At 66.6% G+C, this 16,497-nt stretch overlaps 1 protein-coding gene, 1 long non-coding RNA gene and 1 other non-coding gene across 17 annotated transcripts in view, besides 2 other annotated features; 1 reads left to right on the top strand and 2 right to left on the bottom strand.

Annotated features, from left to right (window-relative positions):
* Positions 451 to 14,273, bottom strand: EGFL7 (EGF like domain multiple 7). Of its 15 annotated transcripts, NM_016215.5 has the most exons (11): positions 10,021 to 10,213; positions 9,506 to 9,721; positions 8,344 to 8,437; positions 4,767 to 4,888; positions 4,456 to 4,572; positions 3,408 to 3,523; positions 3,120 to 3,215; positions 2,799 to 2,960; positions 2,115 to 2,179; positions 1,041 to 1,203; positions 451 to 865 (listed from the first exon to the last, which is right to left on the bottom strand). In NM_016215.5, the coding sequence occupies exons 4-11, from the start codon at positions 4,844 to 4,846 to the stop codon at positions 843 to 845; spliced, it is 822 nt and encodes a 273-aa protein (NP_057299.1). In that variant the 5' UTR covers positions 4,847 to 4,888; positions 8,344 to 8,437; positions 9,506 to 9,721; positions 10,021 to 10,213; the 3' UTR covers positions 451 to 842. The 15 variants fall into 15 exon arrangements, 12 of the variants coding, with proteins under 12 accessions (NP_057299.1, XP_016870288.1, XP_016870287.1 ...); NR_046367.1 differs by lacking the exons at positions 9,506 to 9,721; positions 10,021 to 10,213 and adding an exon at positions 13,499 to 14,273; NR_045111.2 differs by lacking the exon at positions 9,506 to 9,721.
* Positions 2,443 to 2,527, bottom strand: MIR126 (microRNA 126). Its single transcript, NR_029695.1, has one exon. It is a non-coding gene; the product is annotated as a microRNA 126 (primary transcript).
* Positions 2,695 to 3,194: an enhancer, noted in NCBI's record as "H3K27ac-H3K4me1 hESC enhancer chr9:139564387-139564886 (GRCh37/hg19 assembly coordinates)". NCBI's record gives its function as "activates a minimal SCP1, AML or CMV promoter by ChIP-STARR-seq in primed H9 embryonic stem cells {active_cell/tissue: H9 hESC(primed)}" and the evidence as "EXISTENCE:reporter gene assay evidence [ECO:0000049][PMID:30033119]".
* Positions 3,195 to 3,696: an enhancer, noted in NCBI's record as "H3K27ac-H3K4me1 hESC enhancer chr9:139563885-139564386 (GRCh37/hg19 assembly coordinates)". NCBI's record gives its function as "activates a minimal SCP1, AML or CMV promoter by ChIP-STARR-seq in primed H9 embryonic stem cells {active_cell/tissue: H9 hESC(primed)}" and the evidence as "EXISTENCE:reporter gene assay evidence [ECO:0000049][PMID:30033119]".
* The window catches only part of LNCEGFL7OS (lncRNA EGFL7 opposite strand), an 11,812-nt gene continuing 8,022 nt past the window's right edge, over positions 12,708 to 16,497 (top strand). The window contains exon 1 of the long non-coding RNA NR_135132.1: positions 12,708 to 12,808. This is a non-coding gene — a long non-coding RNA (lncRNA EGFL7 opposite strand). The remainder of the gene's footprint in view (positions 12,809 to 16,497) is intronic.

Raw genomic sequence — 16,497 nt, 5'->3', positions numbered from 1 at the left:
CACTCACAGGGCGGGCAGGTGACCAGGGCGGTGGAGGCGACGCTGTGTCTTCCCAGCTGCCCTGCCTAGAGGCCCAGGGTGCAGGCACCGCCACCCACCCGTGTTCCCTATCCAGGAGTGGACCCACATCACCCTATACTACTTCCATCGATGGGTGGGGGTGTCGCCTAACGGGCAAGTGTGCCGGGATCCTCAGGCTACTGGGAAGGAGGCCAGAGATTTGCTCTTTGGCCTCTGGTTGGGGCCAACATGTCCCCAGGACAAAGCTCTCTGTGGCCTCACAGAAACCACCTGCCCACCCCCTCTGCCTTGGACCCCCTCCCCACCCCACGACTGCCCGCTCCACCAGGCCCCCTTTGCCAGCTGGCACCCAGCAGTGGGTCTGGGAGGGGTGGCCAGGAGGTGAGCGCCCTCCTCCCAGGCCCCCAGTCCATCCACTGACACAGCAGCTCACGTTTCATTTTTATTGTGCTGGGGGTCAGGCAGCAGCCCCCACTGAGGCCCCACCCAGCCTCCGGGCTGCCTGGCCTGTGCCATGGGTCCCAGGCTCCAGCAGGGAGCTCGTACCTTCCCTCAGCTGAGGGCCCACCTGGCCTTGGGATGCCGTTGGGGTAGCCAGGGTGGGGGTAGCCAGGGGTGGATTCACAGAGAAGATCCCAGCCCATCCCATGCCAGGGTCTGGGGAGCCTCCCGAGGAAGGGGAGGAGGAAGAGGAGGAAGGCCCTGCCTGGCCTTCCGCTCAGTCACCCCGAGGTGGTTTCTGGACCCCCAGCATGTTGGGCAGGGGCATGGGGGCTGCAGGGCGGCGTGAGGGGCTCAGTCCAGCCTGGGGCGCTGGGCAGTCACGAGTCTTTCTTGCAGGAGCCTAGGGTTGGATGAGGCGAAGGTCAGAGATCACTGCTCCCCACAGCCTCCCCGCCCAGCTAGATCTGACTGGCCCCTTGGCCTTTGGTCGCCCCCGACCCCCAAGCCTGGGTAGCCCCTCTAGGCCCACTGGGCCCAGACCCGGGAGGAGGGCTCTGGAGGGTGGGGGCACTCACAGGACCCCAGCTGCTCCTCCAGGAAGGAAATCTGCTCGCTCAGGGAGTCGATGCGGCCGAGCTGCTGGAAGGAGTGCACCAGGAGGCTGCCGGGGTCCGGGAGCCCATGCTCCAGTGCCTGCGAGGCCAGGCTGTGCAGTGGGGCCAGCACCAGCTGCAGCTTCTGTGGGTGCAGAAGGGCAGTGACCCTGGGCCGGCCCCCGCCCTCTCTGCTCCACCGGGGTCTAGGGAGGACCCCTGGGAAGGGCTCCACAAGCCTCCAGCCCCCGCCTCCGCGGCAGGGCTCCAAGTGTCCACTAGAGGGGGCTGCCGTGGCAGAAAAGCTTGCCGCAGAGTGGGTGCCTGGGGCATCAGGCTGGCGGGGTGGTCCCAGCCTTGGGGTCCCTGGCAGGAGAACTAGGGGGACAGCTGGACCACTGGCCAGTGGGAAGACTGGCAAGAGCTCTTTGTCCTGGTGGGGACAAAGATGGGGGGGTGGGGAGGTCTCGTCTGGGTCCAGGCTCTGTGTATTGTCTGGGGGGCTGTCAAGCTTGGTTCCTCCGGCCCTGGGGGGTCCTGGTCAGTGTCCAGCTGCTTCTGCCCAGCATGGATCCAGGCCAGGGCCCCCTCGGCAGTCAGCAGCGAGGAAGCCACCTCCCCAGGGCCAGGACCTTTTCAGACCACCCCCAGCCATCCGTGGGTCGGGACCATGTCCCAGGAGACTACGGAGCCTGTACCCGGGCCTGGGCCTCTGCTGTTGTGAAGACCTGCCCCCTGCCGACGTCTCACCTCCTCCAGCAGGTCCACCCTGGACTGCCTGCCTCCCCCCCCGACGCCTCATCTCCTCCAGCAGGTCCACCCTGGACTGCCTGCCCCCCCGACGCCTCACCTCCTCCAGCAGGTCCACCCTGGACTGCCTGCCCCCCCGACGCCTCACCTCCTCCAGCAGGTCCACCCTGGACTGCCTGCCTACCCCCCCGATGCCTCACCTCCTCCAGCAGGTTCACCCTGGACTGCCTGCCCCTCCACACCTCACCTCCTCCAGCAGGTCCACCCTGGACTGCCTGCCCCCCCCCCCCCCCACCAATGCCTCACCTCCTCCAGCAGGTCCACCCTGGACTGCAGCCTCTGCACTTCTTCCTTCATTGCACTGTCCACTCCTGCGGGCAGAGCCAGGCGCTGGGTCACGGCCGGCCGGCTCCCCACCCACACCCCCAGGCTCCCTCCTGTCCCCAGGGAGAGGCAGAGCCAGAAGACTCAGGCCCAGGCCTCTGCCGCCCCCGCTGCCTGCCTGGCGCTGGCCAGAGGTCTCAGGGCTATGCCGCCTAAGTACGTCGGGGCGGGTGGCTCTGCGCAGAGGCTCAGGGTCCCGGCCACGCTGAGGGAGGTCAAGGCTGAGGTCTCAGCGGCGTTTTCGATGCGGTGCCGTGGACGGCGCATTATTACTCACGGTACGAGTTTGAAGTGTCACAGCGCGTACCAAAAGTAATAATGTCCCGTCGCCAGCGGAGGCGTGGCGTCTTCCAGAATGCTGCGCTGGATGCAGACAGGACCCCGGGACGGGGCACTTCTGCCTTCTTGGCTGATATGAGGCTCCGGGCAACCTGCCCCCAGTTCTCGGGAACCCACCTATCCTCCCTCCCCATCCTCCCTCCCTGGAGAGGGAGTCCCCACCGCCTTCCGCCCAGATTCCAGTGCCCCCCACCATGCCTAACAGCCACACGGCAATGTCCACTGCCTGCCCGCCTCCCCAGGCCAGGCACAGCCAGGGCTGTTTACCTGTCGGGTTGGGGGCCACCCTGGGGGGCCCTCCCTTGGGCACACAGAGTGTACCGTCTGCAGACAGGCTGTGCCCCTCCCAACACTGGCACCAGTAACTGCCGGCGGTGTTGACGCAGCGCTGGGGACAGCCGCCCCTCCTAGCACTGCATTCATCCACATCTGCAGGAAACGGGGTGTCAGGCGGCCATGCCTGCGGGAGGGGTCCTGCCCACACAGCTCCCTTCACAACCACCCACTCATGGGCCAGCAGTAACCCCAGGACATGCAAGGAGGTGCCCAGGACCCTTCCAGGGCCCCCCAGGGTAGAGCCAGCCTCACCTGACTGGCAAGTGTCACCCCGCCATCCTGCAGGGCAGCGGCAGCGGCCAGGCTGGACACAGCTCCCTCCGTTCCGGCATGGCGGCTGGCATATTGCTGTGGGCGGGGGAGGCTGGTCACCAGCTCAGTTGGGTCCCCAGCACCCTGTGGGGGCAGCTGCTAGGGAGTGGGTGCTCTGCGGCAAGGTGGTGCTTTGCTCGGGGTTCAAGAAAAGCAGCAGGAGCGTTGCTGGAAGATTGGGGAACAGTCGCCCTCCTAACACCGGGCGCCGAGGGACATAGCCCTCACCTGCTCCACAGGCCCCAGGAAGCCCGCTGGTCCTCTTCCAGCCGGGGCAGCACGCGTAGCGAGGCCTGGCAGGGGCCAGCCCAGGGCTGCGGCGGTAGGCGGTCCTATAGATGGTTCTGTGGGGTGGGTGGGACAGCTCAGAGGGGCATCCTACTCCCCCTTAGTCACCTGCTGGGCATCTAGAGTCCCCTCTCAGAGTGCACAGGGTCACCCCAGCATGCCCCCAAGGGTCTTCTCCTCAAGGGATGGCACTGAGGGGTCACTGCACAGCCGTTTCCCTGCCTGGGCCTTCCGGTGCTGGCCGGGACTCAAGCCACAGCAGGAAGGCCCAGCCACACTCCGCATGGAGCAGAGGCAGTGGCCAGGCCTGTGTGTGCCCCCACCTATCTGGTCTCCTACTGTGGGGGCATCCAGGCCCAGAGGAGAGGGTGTGCCCGGCCTACGGCGAGTCACGGCAGAGTGTGGGCCCTGGGCATCGGAGCCCTTCTTAAACCTCCAGAAGTCTGAATTCCCAGGCCCCTCCCCCAGCAGGGGGTGGAGCTCCCACACCCAGGAAGGAGGACTCTGAGACTTAGGGGTGTGTGCCCCTTGTGTGGGCATACAGGACATTTCAGGGTCTCATCTGTGCCCACTGGGGGCCGTCATGTGGAGGGGGGTGCCCAGTGGAGTGGGACCAGGGGAGTCAGGCACCATTCTGTGTATATGGGAACTTGCAGCCAGGGATGCCAGGGTAGGGAGGGGTTAGTCCCCCGGAAGTGGAGGGGTGCAGACAGGATGGGTGACCCCTCTAAACATGGGGATGCTCTTAGAGGTGCGGTCCTTTGAGACGTGTCGGGGCAAGAGCAAGGATTAGGACACTGGAGGTGATCGTGGAACCCCTTGGCTCCGGCCGCCCTGGGTCGCCCATCTCAGGCAGCCCTCTCATGGCTCTGGCCTCAGTTTCCCATCTTGGGTCCCAGGATTCACCCCCGCCTCGCCCCTGACATGCTGATGTGTGGCCGACTTGGGAGGCTGGGGCTGGGTGAGCTCGGTGTGGTGGGGCACTCACCGGTAGGTGCTGCAGGCCCGGTGCCCGTCGCAGGTGGTGAGGAAGGGCTGGTACACACGCTGCACGAACGACTCGGAGACAGGGTCCCCGTGAGCCCGGACAGCACACACCCTACGGCTGCGGGGGTGGAGAGGGGGTCAGCCCAGGAGTCCCAGAGCAGGACCCAAGAATGATGGGAACATGTGGCCGGGGCAGGACCCTCAGCAGGAGCCCCCAGGGAGTCCCCGACAGGTGCTGAGGGCCGCCTCTAGGAGGTGCTGAGGGCTCCCGGTCCCCCCACCCCAGCACTCCCAGGCTAGGGCTTGGCTCACCCGGGCCGGTAGGCGTGCTCTGTGCCGCCCACTGCCAACACCAGAAGCCACATCAGCAGCACCTCCTGAGAGCCCCTCATGGCCTGTGCCTCCAGGCGGGGTGGCCTTCTCCTCTGGGTGGCCTGGGGCACAAAGCATGACCCCTAAGTCTCCCCGCAGATGCCCCCAGGACGCGGGTGCAGTTTGCACTTGCTCCGCGAGGCCTGCCCAGCTCATCTCCGCTGGAGCCTCCACCGGTGGGACAGCCCCACGGTGGCGCCCACTCTCTCCTCCGCTGGCCCCCTCTTCCAGCTAGCCAGACCCTCGCCAGGCACAAACAGCTGGGGCCACAGCCTGGGGGCACAGGGGGGGTGACGCTGTCCAGAGCTCTTGGTGCAGGAATCGAGTGGATCCTGCTGGGCATCTGCCCGAGGCTCCGGGAAGGATGGCTCCAGCTACGGGTGGCCGTTTCTCCTGTCCTGCCTGGTTCCAGGGCCCTCCTCACAGCAGGGCAGGGGTGAGTTTGCACCCCAGTCTATGCAAACGGGGTGTTCGTGGGCAGAGCTGGGATCCAGCCCCACCAGGGACCTGCCGGCCTCAGCCCTTCTGGAATTTGATTTCTCATCTGAGTGTGGAACCGGCCCCAGCAGGTGGGCCAGCAGCTGCAAGCCAGCAGGAACCGTGCGGAGGGTGCACACATTCTAAGACCACCAGAGGGGCGGCCTTCATTTTAGAGGGGGTCCTTCCCAGGCTGGGATATGTGTGCAATCAGCCTCCAGGGATCCTGGGACAGTGGCTGTGCCAGGTGCACACCTGGGGGTGAGGAGCAGCCCCCGACAGTGTCACCGGAACCGGAATCCAACCCCCTCCTGGCTGTGCAGCAGGAGCCAGGGGCCCGGGTGAGGCTTCCTGAGAGCATGAGAGCCCAGAATTAATGGTCTGTGGCAATGCCGGGGATGGGGATTCTGTCCTATGCGCAGCCAGGGGTCTGGAGACCTGGCGAGCCCCTGCCATGCTGCAGGGTCCCACCCAGGGCCTCTCACGGGTGCTTCCCAAAGGCTGGGTGGGTTCCTTCCGAGGCACTGCAGGGCCCTCCGCAGGGAAAGGCCAGGCTTCGGGTCGGGGCAGAGGCTGGGGTAAGGCTGTCCCTTCTCTGGGATTCAGTTTCCTCACACACTAGAATAGGGTCTCTGAGGCCCCTCCTCAGCTCTGACAGCCAGTCCTATAAATAGTCACACTGTCCTCAGTCGCTGCTGGCCAGCCCCACTGGGTGTGGAGCACGATCCCACACCTGCTTCCCACGGGCACTGCCAAGGCATCACCCGGTCCCAGCGGGGAGGGTGGCTGGGGGTCCTTCCTGGGCCTCCAGTCCTCTGTGCGCTGGAGAGAGGAGGGCAGGGCAGAGGCTGCCAACTAGGCAGAGGCTGCCCTGGGCAGCTGAGGGGTGGGGACTTAGCTTGGGGGCAGGGGGGGCATCACAGCAGTTTTTGGGCAGGAGTTTGTCGAGGGGGCAGAGCTGGCTGGAGATTAACTCTGGGGATGGGCCCTGGATGAAGGACACTGTTAGGGGCTGGGTCTGGTGCGACCTCAAGGCAAGACTCGAAGTCGGGGGACATTGGGGAGTGGGACCCGGGAAGGAAGAGGTAGGGCAGCGGCCCGGCGGCTTGATGTGGGCAGGGGGATGCCAGGGCGGGCCTGGGGGTAGGCGAATCTCCCAGACCTCATTGCCCCCCACACATATTGGCACAGCTCCCCCCCACAATTCCTGAGAGTCGCCTGGACAGGAAGCGGTGCTAAGTGGAGACTCAATTTTTGAAAGTCATGTTTTCCCGAGGCCAGAGGAAGCCCGTGGTGCTCTCCGAGCCGGTGCTGCAAGCCCCATTTCCCCGGGGGGGGCCACGGCCTCGACCCAGGGGTGCCGGGCGGGGAGGGGGCGGCGGCGCCAGGTGGACCAGCAGTCCGGTCCCCGTGCCCCCAGCGCCCACGGGCTCCCTCCCCACCTGCCCGGCAGCAGCCCCGCAGCCCCCACCCGCGAGAGGCCGGGTCCGCAGAGGGAGGGGCCTGGCTGCGCCGCAGGCACTGGCGGACCCCTCGCGGCGGGAGCAGGGCTGGGGACCGCGGGGCCCACGAGGGAGGGCGCAGAGGCGGAGCGAGACGGACCTGCCCGCCGCCCCCTCCCAGCCGCGCTGCTGGCTCCGGGGTTCGCGGGGGGCGGAGCAGGCGGCACAGGCTGGGCCCCGAGGCGCTGAGTCGCGCCGGGTCGGACGAGGGGCCGCGGCGACCCCGGCCCTCCCCGCCGCGCCGCCCGCCCGCCCGCCGCCGGCAGGGGGAGCCGGTTCCCGGGGCCGCTGGGCCCATTCTCCCGGCCCGGCCCGACCCAGCCGCGGGCGCCCCGGCCCGCTCCGCCCCCGGCCCCAGCGGTCGCGCTGCCTCGTCCCGGAGCCGCCCCCAGCTCCGCGCGCGGCCAGGTTCCCCGCCCCCGGGGGCTCCGCGGGTCCCGCCCTCGACCCAGCCCGGGCGGCGACCGGACCCCGACCCCGGCGCGCCCCGCTCGCTCCGCACTCACCGCCGGATCCGGGGCGCGCACGCGCCGCCGCCACTGCCGCCCGAGCCCGCGCCGTGGGGGCCCCGAGCCCCGCCCCGCCCCGCCCCCGGCCCCGCCCCACCTGGCGGCCCCGCCCCGCCCCCATTGCGCAGACGGGGAAACTGAGGCCCCGCGGCGGACGAGCTGCCCCCGGGCGGGCAGTGACTCTGCTGGAACCCGGGGCTGACGCAAACGCGCCTCTGAGCCGCGGCCCGCCAGCACCCCCTCCGGGAATCCTGGGGCCCGAGTCCCCGCGGCAGGGCGCTCGCTGCGCGGTCGCTGGGGACGCACGACCAAGCCCGGCCGCCAGGAGCCAGGAGAGGCCGCCCAGGGCGCCCACACTGACGGGGCTGCGGGCCCTTTGCTAGCTTTCAAGCCCCCCAGGCTGAAAACCACCCCGGGACGCCCATCTCAGCCGCTGGGGGGCCGCGCGGTAGGCGCCCGGCGCAGGTTAGCACTGAGCTGGGTCCTGCAGCCTCGCAGGCAGTGGGCATCATGACCGTCCCCACCGCAGGCCCAGAGACCCAGATCTCCTCTGAGACCACATGGCAGAGCCCAGGCCTGCCTCCTAGCCTTAGCGTGTTAGGTTGGGGGCCCCTGCGCCGGCCCCCACCTGGCCCTCTCTCAGGCATCAGGCACCCTCACCGGGGTCACTGGGTCACTGCTGAGTTCAGCACAGTCAGGGCCATCGCAGAACACTCCTCCCAGCGAATCCACAGGCCCCCAGAGAGTCTCCTCACACCAGAGGTCCCTGGGCTGGTCACCTCTCTTCTCCAGGCCTCCATTTCCAAATTTATAAGATGGGGCTAAACAGCCCTGGGATCTAGTGACGGTGAGGTCGTGGCCACACAACAATTGTTACAGCTGTTACTGCGGGCGCGGCACGTGGGGCTCGGGCCAGCCCAATTCAGCAGCCCCTCAGACCCCAGCCGGAGCCAGCGCCCTGTGTCATAACCCGCGTGGGCGCCGGTGTGAGAAGTGTTCCCTCGGAGCAAGGGGTTTGCTGGGACTCACCTGGCGGAGGAGAATCAGTCATCCCCCGGACAGGGGCAGGAGCTGCTCCTCCGGGTGGTGGGGGCCACCTGTGCCTCCCCGGTCCTGGGGGCTGCTGGTTGGAGAGGAGTTGTGGGTTAGTGCCTATGCACAGTCCTGGTCACCCTGATGTCTGGGGGCTGGGAAGGGGCCCGGGACCAGCTTTCGGTGCTGCTGTGGGACCTCCGCCTGCACTAGGCCTACAGGCCCCTGTCCTGCACCTACCCCGACCCCATCCTGTCCTGAGCTGATTGTCCTCTCGGATCCGCAGCCCCTGGCCTCAGTAAAATGGGGTTATTGCCTCCAGCCCTGGACTCCCTGGCATGGGGATGGGAGGCTGCTGTGAGTGGAGCTGGAGGTCTCTCCATGTAACCCAGGGTGCTGGGCAAGGGGCCTGCAGATGGGTCCGAGAGGGCCACCAGCTTGGTCCTACCTTGGTGCATGGGAGCTGGAGGAAGGGAGGGGCCCAGGTCCCTGGAGAGGAGTCCCCAAAATGAGGCCGCCCCACCCTGCAATCCAGTGGCCACTGCTCTGGACCAGGGGCCCTGGAAGCCCCTGGCACGTGGTCCAAGGGACGACCAGAGCAGCTGCTGTCAGGGGGCGTTCCTCATCTGACTGGGGAGTCCTAGGCCTCCTGGCGCCCTGAGCCCACGCAGGGCAGCTCTTACCTAGCCCCCAGCAGTGAAGTGTTCAGAGTGGGGCCTAGGGGGCCTCTGGGTGGGAGAGCCACCGCCACCCTCCCTGTCCCCTGCCCCTGGCCTCATCTCTGGATCTGCGGTCACTTAACCCTTTGACCTGCCTCCCCACCTCTCCTGCCTGAGTCTGGAAGAGGCGATGGAGCAGAAAGGGCAGCTCCAGGGCTGCCCCGACTCAGCCCTCGCTGCCCCCATCCTGGCTAGGCACCATTTGGAAAGTGGGGGTTCTCAGACAGGCTTCTTGGTGTGGACGTATGAGACAAAAAGTGGGGCCTTCTAGGACCCACTGTGGTTTTGGGGGCTTTGGGATGGGGCTTCAGCCACTCTGCATGAGGCTGGGGAGAGGGAGAACAAGGGCGTCTCCAGGGTCCAAGGGGGGCCCACAGAGTCACCCATTTGCCCACCGCACCCAGCAAGTCATCCCTAAGCCCGAGCCCCACGTCCCGCACCCTGGATTCACACTGCTCATCCTGGCTACAGATGTGGCTTTGGGGTTCCTCTCCCTCGGGGCCAGTTCCCCTCCCCGGGCCCCCGTTGGGTTGCTCATCCACTGCTAGGGAGAAGATGAGGAGACCTCAGCCCTCGGGACACCGCAGGGCGTAGCGCGAAGCCCCTCACAGCGGGCCCAGCCAAGCTGAACTTTGCTGCCAACCACAGGGGCTGCTCTGCGGAGGGAGAGAAAGGCCAGAGGGTGGGGTTCAGGGGAAGGGCGACTGGGGGTGAAGTGTTGGAGTCAGCAGACTGGATTGGGATCTACGCTGGGCCACCCACTAGCAGGCGTTTGGCCAAGGGGCCTCAGTGGCCTCCTCTGTGCAGAAGGGGAGGAGACTGGGACCCCTCCCCTGTGACCTCGCTGGGGAGCAGATTGCGGAGCAGCCAGCAGGCGCCACGGTCAGCGGGAGTGAGGGGAATGGGGGGCCCGCCCTGTCCGCTCCCTGCCCCTCCGAGGCCACCCCTGCCATACCTGATGCTGCTGGAGCCCAGGCGTGGCCATGGTGGCCGCTGCTGTGTCCTGGGACTGGAGATGGACCCTAGCCCTTGCTGGGGCCTCAGGCCCACTGGCCGCCTGGAGGCACCTCCTGAGGCCCACCTGCCTGGCCTGTCCACAGGAGCCTCCCTTGCAGCCGTGCAGGGCCAGCTTGGTGCAGGGAGGCTCCCCCCGGGCGAGGAAGGGCGGCTTTTTATGCTCCGTCCTGGGTAATCGGGATTGGGATGGGCCCTTCCCAGCCGGACTTCCTGTGTGTGTTCTCCGCTGATAACGGGGACGTGTCGTCGGACAAACAGGAGGCTGAGGGGGGTGGGGGCCACCGTGTGAGGGGGCCTGGACAAACTGCCCAGGGGTGGGGAAGCCGTCCCCTGGGCCATCAGAGTCTAGCCCCAAAACAGCCAGAAACCAGGGCTGGACCCTGCTGGAGACCCTGGGGAGAGTGTGGGGTGGAGGACGCAAGCCCAGGGCCCTCCCAGGACCGTGGGTTCACAGGCCATGCTCACGTGTGGCTGGACAGAAGGGAGCTGCTGCATCTTTGGGCCAAGGATGCTGGGCCCTCCCCCAGGACACCCCCAGATGTGTGTGACACAGCACGGGAGCTTGGAGGGGCCCCAGGCCAAGGCAGGGACCAGCCACACAGGAGCCTTGACCAGTGAGGGATGGCGAGTGGCGAGGCCCGGCAGGAAGGGACTGGGGTGGCAAGACAGGCTGAGCGGTCCGAGAACAGCCTGTTCCGTGGGTCCCTGAGGCCCATGGTGAGGGGGTGACGGGAGGGGACAAGCATGGAGTCCAAGCTCTCTCCCCTAAAAGAGCTGCCAGTGAGGCTGTGAGCCCCTGCCCTGGAGATGGGCAAGCAGGCCCAATGCCCTCAGCCCCACTTCACAGGGGTGCTCTGGGCTGGCAGCAGGCTGCGGCCGGGGGTGTGGGGAGGGATGCGGGACACTGTGGGTGATCACAGGGGGTGCTCTGTCAGATTCCCGGCGTCCCAGCCTCCAGGTCTGACCCTCATCTTCCCTGTTCACACGGCAGTGGGAGCCTCAGGCCGAGCGAGCCACTGTGGCAAAGGTGGGCTGGGTGGGAGGGGACACGGTGCCGAAGGGAGCTGGGTGGCTTTGGAGGGCACGCCTGGAACCCCAGGAGAGCAGGGCCTCTCCCAACCCCGCTGTCCGTGGGGTGTGAGCCCTGCTTTGGGGTCAGCCCCTGTCGGCCTGATGCCTGGGACACCCCCATTTCCCTGGCCCTGGGCGGTCAGTGTGCCCCCACCTCTCCAGCCCCACTCAGCTGGGCAACTTGAGCCAAGGGAGGCTGGGGCAGCTGGGGAAATTCCCCACGGGACTTTGGAGGGCAGGTGGAAACCTCACCCACACGCGATGCGCCTCCCCCTCAAGCAGGAACCAGCTCCCCTCTACCCACGGCCAGGGGAAGGGTCTGCTCTGGGCGCCAGGCTGTGGTCAGGGCTCAGGGCCTCAGCCAGGCAGGACCTCACTCTTCTCCGGGCCTGTTTCTGCACCTGCTTCATGGTCACTGAGCTGGTTTAAGGGGGCGCTCCTGGCACCCAGGCACCGCTGGTCTGAGCGGGAGGGGCCTCTTTCCAGAGGTGGCCCCTGCCCTGAGGTTGGAGCAGATAGGCAGAACCCCATTTCCCCACCTCCTCCACACTAGGCCACCCTGGGATCTGGCCCTTACCCTACTGGCTGCACCCTCAGCCGCCCTGTGCCTCCCTCGGCCCCCTGGCTCTCCCACCCAGGGGCTCATCCTGCCCTGGCCAGCCTGTCCCTCCAGCTGTCAGGAGGGGGTTGCAGTGAAGAACAAGTTGGCAGCAGGCCGGGCCCAGTCCCCCAGGCTGTCACCCAGGAGTCCAGTGCCAGGAGGACAGCCTGGGGAGGACCCAGACTCTGCCCTCGCCCCTGGCTGTAAGCACAGCAGTCAGTTCACCGGGAAGGCCCCCAGCGGGCCAAGCCTTAGCAACTCGTGCACTCGGCTACTTAGCTACTCCACCGTATAGGGGCCCAGTAGGCTTGTGCCCCCATCCCAGGAGGTGCCCTCTTGCCCTCTGCCTGCATCCCTGCGGCCTGCCCCCTCCTCCCCCACCTGCATGCCCCTGGATCTGCCCTGGCCTCCTGGTGGAAGGACCCACAAGCATGGGGTGGGCTAGATCCAGCCCTTTCTGTGTACAGAGGGGGAAACTGAGGCCCAGAGGGAGAAGTGACCGGCCCAGGTGAGCCTGGAGGCCGGACAGGGCTGGGATGCTCGGCACAGGAGGCTGCCTCACCCTTCCTTCCTCTTCTTGGGGAGCCCCATGTCCCCCACCCCAGCTTGTCCTATGTCCCAACCTGGAGCAGCCCCTGTCATCAGACCTATCCGGCCAGGGGACAGCTCGGGGCAGGAATAGCTAAGTAGCCGAGTGCACGAGTTGCTAAGGCTTGGCCCGCTGGGGGCCTTCCCGGTGAACTGACTGCTGTGCTTACAGGCAAGGGGCGAGGGCAGAGTCTGCGTCCTCCCCAGGCTGTCCTCCTGGCACTGGACTCCTGGGTGACAGCCTGGGGGGCTGGGCACCGCCTGCTGCCAACTTGTTCTTCACTGCAACCCCCTCCTGATAAGCTCTGCCCTGCCCCCAGCCCCTCCCCAGGCCAAGACTAGACCCTCCCCAAGGGAAGGAGGCCTGGGCTCAGGCCCAGAGTGCCAGCTTTGCCCTATCCCATAGCCTGGAGCCACCACAGGAGGGGCACTCCACTCTCTTGGGCTCCTGGAGCCTCAGAGGCAGGTACAGGAGGTGGGCTGCGGCCTTGCCCTAATGTCGGGGGCCCAGCGGGGACAGGAGGGGCGGGGGGTTGGCAGGGGACAGACATGGGTTCTTGGACGCCAGAGGGTACTGGGGGTCCAGGGGGTTGGGGCTGCCCCCGGGTTCTGGTATGGGTGGAGCACACTCTGTGCCCAAGGCCCAGGGGCTCAGCAAGGGGCAGGCGGGCCCCTCCCTCACCCTCCGGTCCTTGGAGGTGCCCCCTTCCCTGCCCTGGCCGCTCTGGTGGTGTGTGTTTGGGATCATGGCACAGACCTTCAGCAGGGAATCATTTTGGGAGTCAGCAGTGCCTCCTGCCCAGGCTCCAGCCCCACAGAAGCCAGGCCGGGCCCCACGCCTGGCCTCCTCCCCTCACCTCAGGGGCCCAGCACAGAGGGGGAGACCTGGTGGGAGAGTGTGGCCACCCCAAGGCCTGCGCCTGTCCTCATCTGGGCACTGGAAGGTCTGGAGCCCAGGGCTTCACCCTGCCTGGGGTGGTGTCAGAGGTGGAGGCCCGGCAGGGGCAGGAAGCTGGAGCTCTGGTCCCAGCTTTGTGCCCCACACAGGCCTCAGTTTCCCCATTGTCTCTCTTGTCAGCAGGGCCATGTTGTCCAGTGGCCTTCCAGCCACCTGGGAATGTTCTGAGGTTAGTTATAAGGGGAAGGGCTGCCTTACCTTCCCAGAGCGTGCTGGCTGGGCAGAGAGGCGTGGAGGGGCCTGGCAGAGCCCCCCGGGCCCTCCCGGGCCTCCCGGACCCCTCACCAGGGTGCTTTTGGCCTCTGAAGCCCCAGGAGAGGGCAGACTAAGCCCCTGGCAGAGGCCAGCCTGGGCATCTCAGGTGGCGCGAGACAGAGGGGCACCAGGCGCGGCCGCGGGAGCCGGGCTGCAGGAGGTGCAGGAGGAGGGAGTGAAGCAGAGTGCGGGAGGGATGGGGCTTCCTGTTTACCCCGAGCGCCCCCCGGCCTCGGACGGGCTGGCTCTGTCAGCCACGGATGTGGTGGAACCTTCCCATCAGAGGACGTCCCGGACCCGACGGGGGCTGGAGGGAGCTGCCAGGCAGGGGTGCCTGCGGGCAGAGGAGCCGTCTGCTCCCGAGCGAGGGTTTGGGCAGGGAGAAGTGAGGGTCCCCAGCCTTTCCTCTCACCTCTCCCTGCCTGCTCCGGCCCCTGACCCACGTCCCAGAGCGACACCCTCTGAGTTGAGGGGCTTCCATTTTCAGAGGAGGCAGCTGGCTCACAGGTGGAAGCCGCTTGTTCAAGGGTGGAAAACGGAGGCCCAGGACTGGAGTCCGGGCGCCTGAGCCTCGGGGGTCGCCCGGGGGACCCCTCGCCCTTCCCCTGGCCGCTCCCGTCTCCCTTCCTGGGGCTGCCCACTGCTCCAGCTGATGGCGTGGAGGAGTCCATGGCCTTGTGGGCTGGCTTCTTGGCAGGTCCCCACCGGCTTTGCATCTGAGTGTCCCCTTCTCCTGACATTGCCCCTACCCTGGTCCGGTCCACCCCGCTTCCTGCCTGGATAACAGTCGCCCCTCCTCGGCCTTGCTGGGCGCCGCTGCCCTTCACACCCAGTGCTCAGGGAGTTTCGCGGAGGGACACATCGGGTTGTGTGACCTCCTCCTAAGGCGCCACCACACTCAGCACAAAGTCCAGTCCTGCCGGTGCTCCATGCCCCTGCCCGGGTGCGCGCTCCACAGGGCAGGGACCCGGACCTGGAAGAGGTGACTTGGAGCAGGTGCGCAGAAAGTGCGGAGTCCCCCACTGCGCCGGGCGTGTCACCCGTTGGTGGCCTGGCAAACTTGAACTGCAGCGAGACGTGGGCTTAGAGATGGGAAAGTGAACCTGAGAGGGGCCGGCAGCCCGGGCAGGAGACACAGCCCCTTGGCCACACCCCAGGGGACCGGCATGCCCCACTGCTGGCAGCAGGTGATGGGAGCATCCCTGGGAGAACAGACTCCCCCCAGTTCTGCACACACTGCTGGTGCCTTGGAGCTCTTACCAGCCTGGGGGCTTAGCTTTGAACATCTTCGTGTTATCTTTTGGCAGACGTGAAGATAAATGCAGTTCCCTTAGGCTGTCCCTGGGGGGTCCCCAGTCCCAGGAGGGGCAGGAAGCCAGGGAATGCCCTGCAGTTCTCAGGTCCCCTGCCAGCAGTGCAGGAGCATTTGGCCGCCCCACACCCTTGTCAGCACTTGCTGTTGTCTGTCTTTTTCATTTTAGCCATTCTGATGATTTTGCAGTGGTATTGCTGTATTGTTATTTTTGTTCATGTAGGAAGGTGAAGAAAATCTTATTTTTTAAACGGCAGAATCCGTCCCTAGGGAGAGACTTGCTTCACAGGGGAGACACCTGGCTGGGGTGAGAGCGCAGTGTGGGCTCAGGGGGCTGTGTGCTGCAGGCTCCGTGGATGTCCCCAGCAGCACCCAGGGAGTCTGGAGGGGAGGAGAGAGAAGAGGCCTCCACTGTGGAGTGAGCCTGGGAGAGGGGTCCCCAGATGGACACTGGGTGCTGCCTGGCAGCTCACGAGGTGGGCACTGGTGGTCTGACTTGAGAAAGCCTTGTGGAGCAGCGTGAGCCCCAGATGGAGCCCCTAGTGTGTGGGGCACCCCTCCCCTGGGGATGCCTGTGCTTCTGGGGTCTGTGGGCTTCTGGGAAGGGTGTGGGGGGTCCCTCCCTGGAGGCTTCATCCCTGTCTCTCTTGCGGGGTTGTCATAGAGCTCCAGTAGAGTCAGGGACCATGGGTGCCCTGAAGGCTTCTCTGCCTCAGTTTCCCCTCGTGTCAGACCAGGGCATGGAGGGTCTTCGGAGCCCTGGGGAGGGTCCCGGGGTCTCCAGTTCCCAGTCATGGGGCAGACAGTTTGTGCCTGGGTCCTTCCCAGGAGGGAGGAAGGAGGGGTCCGTAGCTTCCAGCAGATTCTTGAAGGAGGGTCATGTGACCCTCGAGTGAGTTCAGAGTCCCCACCCAATGCAGCTGCCAGGGCCTCGCGTGTCCCTTCGGGGTCCTCAGCGCCACGAACGGGGCTGGTCCCAGTGTCCAGCTTCTGGGATCCCGCTCCTGCAGGCCCTGGAGACTGCTTCCCACCCCTGCTGAGGTTCCCATGGGGCTGAGGAAGGGGGACTTGCCGGCCCCCTGAGGCTGCCCTCACGCCTGGCGCCAGTACATGGCACAGAAGTCCCACTCGGTGGGCTGTGATTTGCCCAGGCCCGACAGATGGGGCAGCCGTTAACGTCAAGAGGAAAAAGCACTTCATCTCCCGCGACGGAAGGAGAAGTTCCCGAGAGCTCAGGGCCTGTGGGGCAGCCAGTTGAGGTGGCGGCAGTTCAGCAGCCCGGCCCCCAGCTGGAGCCGCCCTGTCCTCTCCCCACCTGCCCGCCTGGGGAGATCTGGGGGCCGCCCTGTCCTCTCCCCGCCTGCCCGTGTGGGGAGAGCTGGGGACCAGGCGCTCCAAGCTTTTAGGGGAGAAAATAGCGGGAGAGACGGTGTACGCCTGTGAGCAGGTGCTGCGTTCGGGTGTCTCCTCCTGGGGCCGTTGCCCTGGCCCTGCGAAGTGGAGGCAATGATCTGACCCCATCTACAGATGAGGAAACTGAGGCCCCATGGGAGTGGCTGCTCAAGCTCCCAGGGCCTTCCCCGGCAGGGCTGGACTGGAACCCAGAGCCACAGGGACCCCAGTCTCCGCA

Source organism: Homo sapiens, chromosome 9 (assembly GCF_000001405.40).
Source record: "Homo sapiens chromosome 9, GRCh38.p14 Primary Assembly".
Lineage (NCBI taxonomy): Eukaryota > Metazoa > Chordata > Mammalia > Primates > Hominidae > Homo > Homo sapiens.
This window is presented reverse-complemented; position numbering and strand designations above follow the sequence as displayed.